Consider the following 16469-nt stretch of genomic DNA (forward strand, 5'->3'; position numbering starts at 1 on the left):
GGTTCTGGGCATTTCCGGGGGTGGCTGCGAGAACAGCCTTCCTTCTCCACAGCCAAGCTTGGTCTCATGTTTGGTGCTTTGAGGATCTTTAACCCTCTCCTGCCTGTGTCCTGTGAACTAACCACCACTAACCCAGTGCTCTTGTCTGTCTCTCCCCTAACCACCCCCTCCCGCCTGTCCTTGTCCTCGCCGGCCTTTGTCCCCAGGCGGGCCAGGCTGTGCTGGCCTTCCAGCGGTACCAGATTGGCGCCGACTCGGCCCTCTTCTCCCAGGACTACATGGACCCCAGCCAGGACTCCAGCATGCCTTACGCGCCCTACGTGGAGCCCACTGGGCCGGATCCCGCCGGTATGGGCGGCACCTACCAGCAGCCGGCCAACACCTTCGACACCGAGCCCCAGGGCTACCAGTCGCAGGGCTACTGAGCCACAGTGACCGCCTGCCCCCGCCCCTCCCCATCTGTCCCCTCTCTCCACACCCAGCCCCTGCTCCTGCCCAGGCTGCCCTGCCCAGCGCCTCATCAGCCTCTGCCTTGTCCCACTGAGGTCCAGGGTAGCTCGGGGCAGGGGTGGGGCAGTCCAGTGTTGGGGACTGTCTACGTATGTGCAAGTATATCCCAGGGCATGTGCCCCGCAGGGGCCTAGAGGGTGGGGGCCAGGGGTATTTGCATTCATACATTGTGTCATCAAGCATTCCTTGAGCGCCTACTGGGCATCCGGCCTGTGCTGGGCATGGGTGGTGACATTGGCAGAAATGGCCACTGGAAAGGGGAGCGATGAGCTGTGGAGGAAGCCCTGGTGGTACCAGAGGCCAGAATGGTGGGAAAGACAGATCCAGATAATGCTGGGAAGTGTGGCTACACCGTGGCTTGGTCATAGGGTGAGTGTAAACACCCACAGGACACTGGGGGCTGTCACCCTGCTCTGGCAGTCCTGCTAAGAGTGTCAGGGCCGTCTCCATTTTATGGTTGAGGAAACTGAGGTCTAGAGAGGTCAAGATTACTTGCCCAGAATCACTCAGGCAGCTAGTGATAGAGGTGGGGCCAAGCCCAGGCTGCCCGACTGCAGACCACGTGCTCTTCCCTGGCCACCCACCTCCTACCATCCCCACGCTTGGGGCTTCCCTGCTCAGTGTTACTGTCATTCTGGGAGGCCTTGGGGCCCTCAGCCCCTTGAGACACCCTGATTCTGCTGCATGCCAAGGGCCTGTTCTGCCCCAGCTGTTCCTCCTCCCCTGGGGACAGCCCCACCTCCGGGTCCCTCCACCCACATCCCCCTGGTCCTACCCCTGGCCCTTGGCCTCCTCCAAGAGGGCTCACCCCGGGTGCTGCTCTGTGCTCTGCGTGTCCCACAGACGCTTGTTCCAGGGGGCTCCAGCAAACCCCTTCGTGGTCTCTCAAAGGACTGATCACTGTCCTTGCCTCTAGGAGGGGTCACTAAGCCCTTACCTAGGGCTGGGTGGACAACAAGGCACAGATGAGGGTGTGACTGGCCCGAGGTCACGGTGAGTGAGTGGCAAAGCTGGCCCTGACGCCTGGGTTTCTTGGCCCCAGCTGCCCAGCAGGTGCCTCGATTCCCTGCCCTTGTGACCTCCCAGGAAACAGAACTGATCTGGGACACTATGTCACCTCTCCTCTCATCTGGGGTCAGTCAGGGTTCGGGGGCTGCAGCAGCCAAGCGCATGAGAGGTGTTTCCTTGGCCTTCCAGAAGGCCCACTGTGGAGCCAGCCTCCCTATGGGAGGCAGAGCGGCAAGGACAGGGCTTTGGAATCAGCCAGGTCGGCTCCTGGGCTGTGGCCGTGGAGAGACACTGCCCCCAGGATGACACAGGCAAGAGCCCCTGAGGCATGGGAGGCCCAGGGAAGACCATGGGCTGTAGGGGAGAGTGTGGCAGGTGACCCAAAGGCCCAAAGAGGGCCGTGGGGCCTGAGGAGGTCATAATCTCTTCTGAGTGGGGGCAGGTCGATTCTTGCACAAGGTGGGCTCTTCACTGAGCCATAAGGGACAGGGAGGTATGGGAGAGCGCTGGGGGCCCATCCCCCTGTCCACCCAGTGTCCACTGGCCTGTCCTTCAGGGAGCAGAGCAGAGCAGGTGGTGGACGGGCCCAGTGCTGGGTGTTTTCACCACCATCCCCCCATCCCCCATCTAAGAATCCTAAGAGGCAGGCGATCCCTCACCTGCTTACTCACTCAGCAGTTACCCGGCCCCTGTGCTGGAGATACCAAGGGCATGGGTGGTCCCTGCTTCGATGGCCCCAAAGCTGGGCCAGAGTTAAGGGAAAGAGGAGGAAGTCCTAAGCAGAGAAGTAGCACCATTATCCCCATTTAACAGAAGGGAAACTGAGGCTCGGCAAGCATAGGCGAGTTGGCAGTGGAACACGGATCTAAACTCAGGTGTGTCCAAGTCCTCCCAAAGGACAGCAGTGATGGAGAGGACCCCAGCCAGCTGTGTGACAGCTGGTTGTTGCTGACTTCATTTTCCAATCCGGAGAAGGGGCTCTGTCCACAGTCCCCCGCCGCCAGGTGGCCCACATGGGACCAGCATGGGGGCAGGTTATCTGTTGGCCTGAAGAGTGAAACCTGTACCAGGCCAAAGGTGAGGGCGTGAGTGAGGGCAGGAGTGTTTATGGCAGAGTGAAGTTCTGTGCCCACCACAAGAGGCTGTGAGATGTTCTGACCCTCACCCACTGTCCACCAAAAGCCTCTCCTGCTGATGGGCACTAGGAGACCTCAGGGTACTGCCCATCTGTTTCTCCTCGGGTGCCAGCCAGCTGCTGGTGATCCTCAGCCGGAGGGCAGGGTACCAGGTAAGCTTAACTCCATCTTGGGTGTTTGTGACAGGCCCTGCCTGCCACCCTAGGCAGGGAAAGCTGTCAAGACTCCTGCCAGGAATGGGGGGTGCTGAGTCATCTCACGAAGAATCCCTCACTCTTCCCGGGTTCAGCCCAGAAGCCCTTCCAGGCATGATCTTCCCCATCAGGCTGGGCTCTGGCAGGGACCTGCCCAGGATGGAGATGAGAGAGGGTGAGAGATGGAGGGCGAGATTTGGATGGGACCCAGGGCTCCTGACTCTGCCCTGGAAGGTTCATGGGGAAACTCGCTCCTTCTGTTGGCAGAGGACAGCCCCTGGGGAACCCCAGGCCCAACTCTGTCCGGTATCCCTTTTCCTCCCAGCTGCCCTCCCCTACTTCTCCCTTGCTCCCAAAGCTTTCCTTGGAGAAGGGCCCTCCTGCAGCTGGACCCTGCAGGGTGGCTCCCTCCTCCCCATCAAGCACAAGAGAGGGCCCAGGAAAAAAGGTTTCACATAAGTGTAGAGTCGCAAGGACGCTTAGAGTCGGCAGAGTCTGGGGTAGGGAGACAGCGACTTGTCCAAGGTCAAGCACAGAGGGAGAGGTTCAGGAGTCAGGTCTTCTGCCTTCTGAGTTGGCTCATCCTGGGCAGTCACAGACTGTCCTGCCTGCACGGCTCCTATCCACCTGGGGGTGTCGCAGTTGAGGGGCTAATTCCCAGGGGACTGACGTTAGTTCCCTACTCCATCCTTCCCTGGTGATTCTTGATCTTCAAAGCCTCGGGGATCCCAGGTTTCCCCATGTAACTGAGACACCCTGCCTGTTAGCCCTGGGAGACCCCTAACCTTGGCCCAAGACCCCTTTGATTCTCTAAGGAGCACGAAAGGGGGAATGCCCCTCCCAGGAGTTTATGGGAGAAGGGACTGGGCCGGCTGCCTCCCAGCGATGCACTTGACCTGACACTCCCCATGTCCTGGTGCGCACAGCCCTTGTCGGTGCCCCGGCCCCTCCCGCAGCGTTACTGCCTGTGTATAGTATAAATATATATATTTTCTATATATAAGATGTATAATATAAGGCTCCACAAATATATCTGTGTGTGTGTGTGCGTGTGTGTGCGGTGAAGGGCGGTCCCCATCCTGGGCCCCCACTCTAGACCCCCCCACCACCTGGTTAAGTCTCGAGTGAATCCAGTGGCCCCGTGGCACCCTCCTTTATGACATCCATCCATCTGTGGTGAACCAAGTGAAGGTGGTGACTTCTGGTGACATAGTAATAAAGTGAAGACTCAGAACCCACCAGCGATTGCAAGTGTGTCACCGTGTTTCTTTGTTCTTCATTCTGCGTTTGGCTTGGATGCTCCATCCCGTTTGTCTCCTTAGACAGGCCATGTCTTACTTGGTTATTATTGTTTGTTAATTTTTCATTACACAATGAACCTATGAATATATTATCTTTTTAAAAAGTAAAATTGGCCGACTGCAGTGGCTCATGCCTGTAATCCCAACACTTTGGGAGGCCAAGGTGGGTGGATCACCTGAGGTTAGGAGTTCGAGACCAGCCTGACCGACATGGTGAAAACCTGTCTCTACTAAAAATACAAAAAAAAAAAAAAATTAGCCGGGTGTGGTGGCAGACGCCTGTAATCCCAGCTACTCGGGAGGCTGAGACAGGAGAATCACTTGAACCGGGGAGGCAGAGGTTGCAGTGAGCCAAGATTGTGCCATTGCACTCCAGCCTTGGCATCAAGAGCAAAAATCCATCTAAAAAAAAAAAGGAAAATTATTACAGTTGAAGCCAGAGTCTCTTAGCTTACATGTGCACATGTCCACATACATGCCCCATCACCATTTCCTATCCTGGTTCCTTCCCCAACCACCAGGAGTAAACAAGATTAGATGCTTGGCCTCATTCCTTCCAGACCATTTCCATGCTTTTACATACACATGTTTTACAAGACATGGTTTTTAAATTGACTGGCCTTCAGCTGGGTGCCATGGCTCATGCCTGTAATCCCAGCACTTTGGGAAGTCAAGGTGGAAGGATTGCTTGAGCCCAGGAGTTCAAGACCAGCCTGGTCAACATAGTGAGACCCCGTGTCTAAACAAAACAAAACAAAAAACCTGGGCACAGTGGCTCACACCTATAATCCTAGCACTTTGGGCAGCCTAGGCGGGCGGATCACGAGGTCAAGAGACTGAGACCATCCTGGCCAACATGGTAAAACTCCGTCTCTACTAAAAAGACAAAATTAGCTGGGCGTGGCTGGGCGTGGTGACTCACACCTGTAATCCCAGCACTTTGGGAGGCTGAGGTGGGCAGATCACCTGAGGTCGGGAGTTTGAGAACAGCCTGACCAAAATGGAGAAACCTCGTCTCTACTAAAAATACAAAATTAGCCAGGCGTGGTGGCACGTGCCTGTGATCCCAGCTACTCGGGAGGCTGAGCCAGGAGAATTGCTTGAATCCAGGAGGTGGAGGTTATAGTGAGCCAAGATCATGCCATTGCACTCCAGGCCTGAGCAACAAGAGCAAAACTCCATCTAAAAAAAAAAAAAAAAAAAAAAATTAGCTGGGTGTGGTGGCCAGCACCTCTAGTCCCAGCTACTCTGGAGGCTGAGGCAGGAGAATCGCTTGAACTCGAGAGGCAGAGGTTGCAGTGAGCCAAGATCACGCCACTGCACTCCAGCCTGGCGACGGAGTGAGACTCCGTCTCAAAAAAAAAAAATTAAATATAGTTGCCCCGAGCCGGCAAAAAATTTACCCAGAGCCTGTAAAGTACCAGAAACTTGCTAGGCGCTAGGAGTTCAACACCAAAGGAGGTAGACAGTGCCCTCTTGGAGATGATCACGCAGTGGGGGAAATGCTGTTAACTAAACATGCAAGCAAAAATATCAACTGTGCTAAGTGCTGGAGTGGGTTGGAAAGAATATGCGATGCAATTTAGATCACCCTGACTAAATCAACCACCACCGGTCGAGCAGGTGACCCTCGACTCAAGCGCTCTCCATGAGCAGGGTTTGGACGTGAGCGGGTGGGCTGGTGAGTTATCCAAGCTGGTGAGTTCTGCAGGGAGGACCCAGGACTCAGGGGTCCCCGGCTGGGAAAGAGCTTGGAAGTGGTGGAAGGCAGGTGCAGTGGACGCACAGAAGGGAGAGAGAGGAGAATGAGGAAGGACAGGCCAGAAGGTGCTCATGGATCCCACAGTGTAGGGCCTGGAGGCCTCTGTAAAGCCATGAAGGGTGGGTGACCACAACAGTGCATGCTCTCAAAAGACCACTCTGCTGGTTAGATGGTAGTCAAGAGACAGGTCACCATGACCGTGAGAGAATGGAGAAGTCCAGATGTATTTGAAGAAGGCACAGATCTGCAAATGAACCGAGGCCGGGCACGGTGGCTCACGCCTATAATCTTAACACTTTGGGAGGCCGAGGCAGGAGGATCACTTGAGGTCAGGAATTTGAGACCAGCCTGGCCAACATGGTGAAACCCCGTCTCTACTAAAAAAATACAAAAATTAGGCCGGGTGTGGTGGCTCACGTCTATAATCCCAGCACTTTGGGAGGCCGAGGCAGGCGGATCACCTGAGGTCGGGAGTTCGAGACCAGCCTGACCAACATGGAGAAACCCTGTCTCTACTAAAAATACAAAAATTAGCCGGGCGTGGTGGTGCATGCCTGTAATCCCAGCTACTCAGGAGGCTGAGGCAGGAGAATAGCTTGAACCAGGGAGGTGGAGGTTGTGGTGAGCCAAGATGGCGCCATTGCACTCCAGACTGGGCAACAAGAGCGAAACTCTGTTTCCAAAAAAAAAAAAAAAAAAAAGCAAAAATTAGCCGGGTGTGGTGGTGGGCGCCTGTAGTCCCAGCTACTTGGGAGGCCGAGGCAGAAGAATCGCTTGAACCCAGGAGGAAGAGGTTGCAGTGAGCTGAGATCGCACAACTACACTCCAGCCTGCGACAGAGAGAGACTCTGTCTCAAAAAAAAAAAAAAAAAAAAAAAAATCCCACCAGAAAAGGCTCTGGAGCCCAGGCCGGGTGGGAGGAGCAAGTGGGCGTGGCCTGGGCATGGCCCGTCGGTCAAGGTACTGGCCCTGCCCACGCCCGGGAGAGGGGCGGGCGAGAGAGATGCTAAGCCAATCGGATTGCGGTCATCGGGGGCGAGCGGAGTCTGCAAGAGGTCCGAGGAGTAGCGGGTGCCGAGGGAAGGAGCGCGGCGGGGCGGGTGAGGGATCCCGGGGCTCCGTTCCAGGACACCCAGGTTCTGACCCCGTTTAGGAGTGCGGAGGGCAGGGGCTGCCTGCAACCCAAGGAGCCCGAGCTACCCTGAAGGCCGACCCTGAGGCCGCTGCTCAGCGAGAGGAGCCGACCCTTGGGGGACAGCGGGGTCGGGTTCCAAGCCGGGGCTGCTGGGGCTGGTCAGGCCGCCCGCCCTGCTTGACCCCTCTCACCTGATGGCTCCCTTCTCCAATCTTCAAGAAGGTGAAACGTCACTGTGGTCCGCAGAGGGCAGGCCGCGTGTGCGGAGTCGCTGTCATCCCTTAGTGGCCACGCCCGCCTCCCTGTCCACTTCCCGTCTTCGTCGTTGCGGTTCAGGTGTTCGCTCCACTCTGCGGCACCAAAGGCCCGTCACGTGCTTCCCCTGCCCAGACACCCCAAACACCGAAACTGTCATCCGAAGGCCCCGCACCTGCCGCCTGTCGGATGCTGAAGAACGAATCCCAGGTGGAGAGGACAGCACCCCAAAAGGGATGGGGGATGGATTGGGGCGTCTGAGCCCCGTGGAGTATGTCAGCCTTTCAGAGCGACCCGCTCCACGCTGCGATGTGGTCCTTAAGAAGTTAGGGCCGGGCACGGCGCCTCACGCTGTAATCCCAGCACTTTGGGAGCCAAGGTGGGCGGATCATCTGAGGTCAGGAGTTCGAGACCAACCTGGCCAACATGGTAAAACCCCAACTCTACTAGAAATACAAAAATTAGCTGGGTGTGGTGGCAGGCGCCTGTAATCCCAGCTAGTCGGGAGTCTGAGGCAGGAGAATTGCTTGAACCCGGGAGGCGGAGGTTGCAGTGAGCGGAGATGGAACACCCCTGCACTCCAGCCTGGGTGACAGAGAACGACTCCGTCTCAAAAAAAAAAAAAAAGTTAGGGCCGGTCGTGGTGGCTCACGCCTGTAAGCGAGGCCAAAGCTCCAGAACAGCATCTCTACTAAAAATACAAAAATTATTCGGGCGTGGTGGTGGGTGCCTGTAATCTCAGCTACTCGGGAGTCTGAGGCAGGAGAATCGCCCGTGAACCCAGGAGGGGTAGGTTGCAGTGAGCAGAGAGCATTCCACTGCACTCCAGCCTGGGTGACAGGCTGAGCACTCACTCAGCCTGGAGCGAGACTCCATCTAAAAATAAATTAATAGATAAGTTAGGGCTGGGTGAGGTAGCTCACACCTATAATCCCAGCACTTTGGGAGACTGAAGTGGGTGGATCAATGAGGCCAGAAGTTTGAGGACAACGTCTCTACAAAAAATACAAAAATTAACCAGGCATGGTGGCCTGAACCTGTGGTCCCAGCTACTTGGGAGGCTGAGTGGAGAGGATCTCTTGAGCCCAAGAAGTTGAGGGTGCAGTGAGCCATGATCACCACCACTGCAATCCAGCCTGGGTGACAGAGTGAGACCCTTTCTCAAAAAAAAAAAAAAGTTATAATGTAATGGATTGGCCTTCATTGGACTTAAGGGAAATCATTAAACCCTGCAAGGGTTTTAACTGACTCAGGACAATTTGGAGAAATATGAAAACTATTTCAAAGAAATGCTAGGTTTCAGAATCAGGGCTGCTGCATGATTTGTAGGGCCCAGTACAAAATGAAAGTGCAGGGCCTCTTGTTCAAAAAGCAATATTAAAAAATAGTGTAATTTTTGACCGGGTGCAGTGGCTCTCGCCTGTAATCCCAGCACTCTGGGAGACTGTGGCGGGCAGATCACTTGAGACCCAGAGTTCGAGACGAGCCTGGCCAACATGACAAAACCCCATCTCTACAAAAAATACCAAAAAAAAAAAATTAGCCCAGCATGGTGGCATGTGCCTGTAATTCCAGCTACTTGGGAGGCTGAGGCAGGAGAATCGCCTGGACCCGGGAGGTGGAGGTTTCAGTGAGCCGAGATCACGCCACTACACTCCAGCCTGGGTGACAGAGAGAGACTCCGTCTCAAAAAAATAATAATAATAAATAGAAATAGAAATAAAAATACTAAAATATAAAGCACTTTACTTACAAAATATTACATATAAAATATAATAGGAGTAAGAGTAACACATGAGTAACAGCATAAATTTAAGATTATAAAAAATAATATTTTGGGGTTGGGCGAGGTGGTTCACGCCTGTAATCCCAGCATTTTGAGAGGCTGAGATGGGTGGATCACCTGAGGTATGGAGTTCAAGACAAGCCTGGCCAACATGGTGAAACCCCATCTCTACTAAAAATACAAAAATTAGCTGGGTGGTGGCGGGCACCTGTAATCCCAGCTACTGGAGAGGGTGAGGCAGGAGAATCGCTTGAACCTGGGAGGCAGAGGTCGCAGTGAACCGAGATCATGCCGTTGCACTCCAGCTTGGGCGACAAAAGCGAGATTCCCACTCAAATAATAATAATAATAATAATAATAATAATAATAATAGGCCAGGCGTGGTGGCTCACGCCTGTAATCTCAGCACTTTGGGAGGCCAAGGTGGGCGGATTGCCTGAGGTCAGGAGTTCGAGACCAGCCTGACCAACGTGGTGAAACCTCCTCTCTACTAAAAATACAAAAAAAAAAAAAAATTAACTGAGCTTGGTGGTGTGTGCCTGTAATCCCAGCTACTCGGGAGGCTGAGGCAGGGGAACTGCTTGAACCAGGGAGGTGGGGGTTGCAGTGAGCCGAGATCGCGCCACTGCACTCCAGCCTGGGTGACAGGATGAGACTCCCTCTCAAAAAATAAAAAATAAAATAGTAATAATAATATTTTGGTGTCATTTTATATAATACAAAAATAATGCCTTACTAATATGATTTCTTGATTGGTCATATGATTTTTTGGCTCATTCTTTTTGCAAGTTCATTTATTATGTTATTGAAATTTATACTTATGACAACTTCATTTTCCATTGAAAGCTACAACAGCCACTTTTGGCAAAGGCAAGATTACAAATAATTTCTTATACTTTTTATTTTGAGAAGGCTCCTTCTGCCAAGGCAATTGTTGCTGTAGCTGCTGAGAGTATTTTATATGCTGTCACAGTAGGAGAAATTCATGATTTTAAAGAATTTTTAAAAAAATATTTAGCTCTTCATATTGGCCAGGCGCGGTGGCTCACACCTGTAATCCCAGCACTTTGGGAAACCGGGGCATGTGGATCACCTGAGGCCAGGAGTTCCAGACCAGCCTGGCCAACATGGTGAAACTCTGTCTCTATTAAAAATACAAAAATTACCCAGGCCTGGTGGTGCGCACCTGTAATCCCAGCTACTCAGGAGACTGAGGCAGGAGAATCTCTTGAACCCAGGAGGCAGAGGTTGCAGTGAGCCAAGATTGCGCCACTGCACTCCAGCCTGGGCGACAGAGTGAGACTCCGTTTCAAGAAAAAAAATTTAACTATTCATATAAATCAGTTTCATATGTGTCTGATTTAATTTTAAATGTAAACTTATACAACGATGTTTTAATGTTTTCTTTGACATTTTCTATAACTTGTGAAGGTTGTACAAGAAACTGAAAGTTACTTCATGATTTCTATATAATTTTAATGATCTGTTTATGCATTTGATTGCTGGGTCTTCAATAACAAGGAAAACTTAGCTTTAAAACTGCCTTCAGAGTAAGCTTCACATAAAATAGAATTATTTTCTGTAGAATATGATGATCTATACATTTAATTTTTATTTCTAAGACTGTGGATATTTGCAATATTGCAGCAGGCTTTTTTGTTTGTTTGTTTTTGTTTGTTTGTTTGTTGAGACTGAATCTTGCTCTGTTGTCCAGGCTAGAGTGAAATGACATGATGTCGCCTCCCTGCAACCTCCACCTCCCAGGTTTAAGCAATTCTCATGCCTCAGCCTCCCATGTACTGGGATTACAGGCATGAGCCACTGTGCCTGGCCTGCAGCAATTTTCAAAACCAGAGATTCTTTTTCTTTTCCTAGCATCCCCATGGATGCCAGGGCGAAAACCGAAAATTCTAAAACTCTTTGAAGAATCCTAACAGCTCCCTAGCGTGCTTTATTGCGACATCCATGTGTATGTTTCCATGTTGTAATAACTTACTGACAAGGTTTACTGCCTGACTGCTGGCAGTACCTGTCCCAGCATTTAGGCTGTGAGCTATATTTGTGCAGATGTTACAGGCACGGGCTGTTCCATGTGGAGTCTCTTCTCCCACCATGGAGCCCGTGATGGCATGGAGCCGTGACACCCCCACCAGTTTCTTCTGCTGCTGCCACCAATCTGGGCACAGATCCTGGCCCCCACTGTCCCCACACAGCCCCACAGTGTCGCAAACTGTCCAGCCATGTGGGTGCACACAGGGTGGCCAGGCCAATTGCTAGGCAGCTCTGCTGCCCACCGCCTGTCATCCTTGCTGGTCTGAGCCTGCTGGTGCATATGCTTCTTTGTCCCACTGGACTTCCTTTATAAAACACAAGTTCAAATATAAAATGATGAAGAATTTCAAGATGGCGAAATTCAAACAGAAATCAATGCAGAGCATTCAACCAAATGCTAGGTCTATTCTGAGAGCAGGGCAATGTGCGACTGTACGGGTCCCATGCCCATGAGTGCAGTCCTGCTCAGCACACTGATTCTGGCCCCTCTCCATCTCCCCTTTATTTTATTCTGAATCTTTTTTCTTCTCCTTTTAGTCTCCTTGTCAATTAGATAGCTACACTTGACTATGGGCCTGAGCTATGCTGCGTACTTTGTAAAGCATTGTCTAGTTCACTTCTTTTCTTTTTTCTTTCCTTTTTTTTTTTTTTTTTTTGAAATGGAGTCTTGCTCTGTCACCCAGGCTGGAGTGCAGTGGCGCAATCTTGGCTCACTGCAAGCTCCGCCTCCCAGTTCACGCCATTCTCCTGCCTCAGCCTCCCAAGTAGCTGGGACTACAGGCGCCCTCCACCACACCCGGCTAATTTAGTTTTTGTATTTTTAGTAGAGACGGGGTTTCACCGTGTTAGCCAGGATGGTCTCGATCTCCTGACCTTGTGATCCGCCCACCTCGGCCTCCCAAAGTGCTGGGATGACAGGCGTGAGCTACTGCTCCCAGCCTCCTTTTCTTTTCTTTACTTTTCTTTTTTTTTTTTTTTTGGTCGTTGTTGTTGTTGTTGTTTTGAGACAGAGTCTCGCTCTGTCACCCAGGCTGGAGTACAATGGCGCAATCCAGGCTGGAGTGCAGTGGCACAGTCTCAGCTCACTGCAACCTCCGCCTCCCAGGTTCAAACGATTCTCCTGCCTCAGCCTCCCAAGTAGCTGGGATTACAGGCATGCGCCACCACGCCCAGCTAATTTTTGTATTTTTAGTAGAGACAGGGTTTTGCCATGTTGGCCAGGCTGGTTTCGAACTCCTGACCTCAGGTGATCCGCCCCCCTCGGCCTCCCAAAGTGCTGGGATGACAGGCGTGAGCCACCGCGCCCGGCCTTGTTCACTTCTTTCAACACCTGTGATAGGGGCACTAAGATGCTCCCATTTTACAGATGAGGAGCTGGGCCAGGGAGGAGAAGTGGCCCAGCACAGTTATACCGGTGCAGGGCCTGACTTGACCAGTAGTGAGTCCAGCTTTAAAACCCATGGTCTTAGCCTCTTTGCTGCCTTTTGTTAAACTATTTTTATACATTTGCGGTCACTCACATAATCCTTAAAGCTGTTTTTGATGTGAAAGTTCCCCGAGCTGTGCATGCTTCTGGATCAGCAAAGGCTTCGGCTTTGGTTACCCATCTGTTCTCTGTGCTTATCCAGCGCTGGGGTCTTCCCAAACCCTGTCCCAATTATGTGACCTAGAAATGCGACTTCAAATGTTTGAGAGATCTCATACAAAATTGAATGTGCTTTTCCTCAAGGTTTTTCAAAAGTTACATTGCTGGACGGGATGACTTACTTCTGTAATCCTAGCACTTTGGGAGGCCGAGATGGGCAGATCGCTTGAACTCGGGAGGTAGAGCTTGCAGGAAGCCAACATCACAGCACTGCACTCCAGCCTGGGTGACAGAGTGAGACCCTGTCTCAAAAAAAAAAAAAAAAAAAAAAAAAAGTTACATCAATTGAACAGTAGCAGGGATTGTGCCCTCAGTGTCAATGTGGAGGACTCCCAGGTTCATCCTCCGTCCACACTTGCTTCATTGGTGGCTCATCTGGTCTCACAGCTTTAAATATCCGCTGTATTCTGACCATTCTCAAGTGTGTACACCCACCCCCCCAGGTCAGCTACTCGTATATCCAACTGCCTTTACTCCGACATATCTGGTTGACATCTCCCATGAAGACCCCAGGGATCTGCCTTGCTACTTCTCTCATCCCATAGCTTGCCACCCTCCCCCGTGCTTCAGCCACGCTGGCCTCCTTGCTGTTCCTAGAACATACCTAGCACATTCCTGCCTCAGGGCCTTTGCACTTGCTGTTGCCTTTGCCTGAAATGCTCTCCCTGCTCCACCCCAGATCTCTGGAGGAGACCTGAAACCTTTGCAGTGGGTTCATCCCTGGTCATGCCTTTTAAAAAGGCACCCCCGACCAGGCACAGTGGCTTATATTTGTTTTTGTTTTTGTTTTGAGACGGAGTCTTGCTCTGTCGCCCAGGCTGGAGCGCAGTGGCAGGATCTCGGCTCACTGCAAGCTCCACCTCCCAGGTTCACGCCATTCTCCTGCCTCAGCCTCCCGAGTAGCTGGGACTACAGGCGCCCGCCACCATGCCCGGCTAATTTTTTGTATTTTTTAGTAGAGACGGGGTTTCGCTGTGTTAGACAGGATGGTCTCAATCTCCCGACCTCGTGATCCACCCACCTCGGCCTCCCAAAGTGCTGGGATTACAGGCGTGAGCCACCACGCCCAGCCAAGTGGCTCATATTTGTAATCCTAGCACTTTGGGAGGCCGAGGCAGTCAGATCAGTTGAGCCCGGGAGTTTGAGACCCGCCCGGGCAACATCGCAAAACCCTGTCTCTACAAAAAACAAAATGGAAAATTAGCCAGGTGTTGTGGCACACCTGTAGTCCCAGCTACTCGGGAGACTGAAGCAGGAAAATCACCTGAGCCTGGGAGGTCGAGGCTTCAGTGAGCTGTGGTTGCGTCACTGCACTCCAGCCTGGGTGACAGAGTGAGACCCTGTCTCAAAAAAAAATAAATAAATAAAGTAGCCGGGTGTGGTGTTGTGTGCATGTAATCCCAGCTACTCGGGAGGCTGAGGCAGGAGACTCACTTGAACCCAGGAGGTGGAGGTTGCGGTGAGCCGAGATCATGCCATTGCACTCCAGCCTGGACGACAAGAGCAAAACTCCATCTCAAAAAAAAAAAAAAAAAGGCAGCCCACCTCCACTTTGTTTTCCTCCATAGCACTTGTCACCACCTGACATACTTACTAGTTTATTTATTACCTATCTCTCCTCACCGAATGTGGAAGTCTCATAAGGGCAGTGTTCTTGTCCCTGCTTACCTGGCATGTACTAAGTGCTCTATTGAGGATTGTTGAATTAACGCATGAATCTTCCCACCAAATCTCCTCCTTTCTCTGTGCTCATCATCTAAGTAAAAGGCACCATCATCTACCAGTCATCCCCCTGGGTATTATCCCAGATTTGTCCCTCTTTTCAAAAACCCAAGCATACGCCAGATCTTGTTGACTTAACATCCTAAATATTTCTCAAACCATCCCTTCTGTCACTGCCTTGGTTCTCCTCTTCCATAGCAGATGCCTCAAATGCATAGAGTAACATGCTGCTTTGCACACTGTGAATGTTTCAGCATCCTCTCTGCCCCCTGCGCTCTCTGTCTACCTGCCAGGCCCAGACCTGGCCCTCCTCTAGTGGCCCTGTCTCGGCAGATCCTCCACCACTGGGCCGACGGCCTGGGCCAGGAACCTGGGAGTCATCTTCCACTCCCCTTTCTTCCGCTTCCAATCAACTGCCAGAGTCTTTCTACTTGACCTATTTGGATATTTTTGAAAACTGTCCATTTCTTTTATCCTCATGGCCACCATCCTGGTCCCGGCCACCTCCTTCCTTCTCTTATCTGGGTTATCCCAGCAGGCTCCTAATACTGGTCTCCCTGCTTCCTGTCTGACTCAGTGGGATCCCTCTGAAACACAAATATGATCATGTGACTCTCCCACTTAAATGAGTCCCTACCCTTACAAGATAAAGCCAATTGCTTCTGTTGCACCCATATCCCTCCCTGATTTGTTCTCCTCAGCTCGGCCACAGTCAATTTCTGCCTTTGCCAGTTCCCCCCTCACTTTGACCATGCGATCCCTTGGCCTGAGATGCGCTTTCTATCTTCTCTGCTCAATCCCTCTGCCCTCCCAGACCCAGCTGGAAGGTCACCTCCCCTGTGAAGTCTTCCCTGACTCCCCCAGCAGAATTAACTGCCCCCTCTCTTGGGCTTCTGGCTCCACTCAGTTTGTCACAGGCCTGATGAGCAAGGATATCTTGATAAAGGTGATAACTGGCCGAAAAGCAGTTGGGGCGCCCAATGGCGCAGCCTTCAGAAGCACCTTCTGTGTTTTTGGAACTGTTGGCAGCATCCCAAGGTGAAATGGTAGAAGCATATGGCATGATCATGGGGAAATGGGTCTGGGGAAGGGAAGAGAAGCCACATATTTGGAGCAGATTCTGTTCCTGTTCTAAAGGCTTGGAAGATGTTACTTTATTGAATCCTTGTAACATCCCTGGGAGGCAGGGGTTTTAAAAACAAAGACAGTGGTGGCCGGGCGCGGTGGCTCATGCCTGTAATCCCAGCACTTTGGGAGGCCAAGCAGGGAGAATCTTTTTTTTTTTTTTTTTTTTTTTTTGAGACAGAGTCTAACTCTGTTGCTAGGCTGGAGTGCACTGGCGTGATCTCGGCTCACTGCAACCTCCGCCTCCTAGGTTCAAGCAATTCTCCTGCCTCGGCCTCCCGAGTAGCTGTGATTATAGCCACACACTGCCATGTCCATCTAATTTTTTTTTTTTTTGAGACAGAGTCTCACTCTGTCGCCCAGGCTGGAGTACGGTGGCGCGATCTTGGCTCACTGCAACCTCCGCCTCCCGGGTTCAAGCGATTCTCCTGCCTCAGCCTCCCAAGTAGCTGAGACTATAGGCACATGCCACCACACCCGGCTAATTTTTTGTATTTTTAGTAGAGACGAGGTTTCACCATGTTGGCCAAGATGGTCTTGATCTCCTGACCTCGTGATCCACCCACCTCGGCCTCCCAAAGTGCTGGGATTACAGGCATGAGCCACCGCGCCCAGCTCGGGAGGATCTTTTGAGCTCAGGCGTTTGACACCAGCCTGGGCAACATGGTGATAGCCTGTCTCTACAAGAATACAAAAATTAGCCGGGCGCAGTGGCACATGCTGTAGTCCCAGCTACCCGGGAGACTGAGGTGGGAGAATCACTTGAGCCCAGAAGCTTGAGGCTGCAATGAGCCATGATTGTGCCACCGCACTCCAGCCTGGACAACACAGTGAGAAC

At 52.0% G+C, this 16469-nt stretch overlaps 1 protein-coding gene across 1 annotated transcript in view, besides 1 other annotated feature; it reads left to right on the forward strand.

Annotated features, from left to right (window-relative positions):
* SYNGR1 (synaptogyrin 1) overlaps positions 1-4086 on the forward strand; it is a 35585-nt gene extending 31499 nt beyond the window's left edge. The window contains exon 4 of the mRNA NM_004711.5: positions 207-4086. Coding sequence (NP_004702.2) covers positions 207-425 — 219 coding nt within the window. The 3' untranslated portion in view covers positions 426-4086. The remainder of the gene's footprint in view (positions 1-206) is intronic.
* Positions 3295-3589: a silencer, noted in NCBI's record as "tiled region #1576; HepG2 Repressive non-DNase unmatched - State 12:CtcfO". NCBI's record gives its function as "represses a minimal TATA promoter and a strong SV40 promoter by Sharpr-MPRA in HepG2 cells {active_cell/tissue: HepG2}" and the evidence as "EXISTENCE:reporter gene assay evidence [ECO:0000049][PMID:27701403]".

Source organism: Homo sapiens, chromosome 22 (assembly GCF_000001405.40).
Source record: "Homo sapiens chromosome 22, GRCh38.p14 Primary Assembly".
Lineage (NCBI taxonomy): Eukaryota > Metazoa > Chordata > Mammalia > Primates > Hominidae > Homo > Homo sapiens.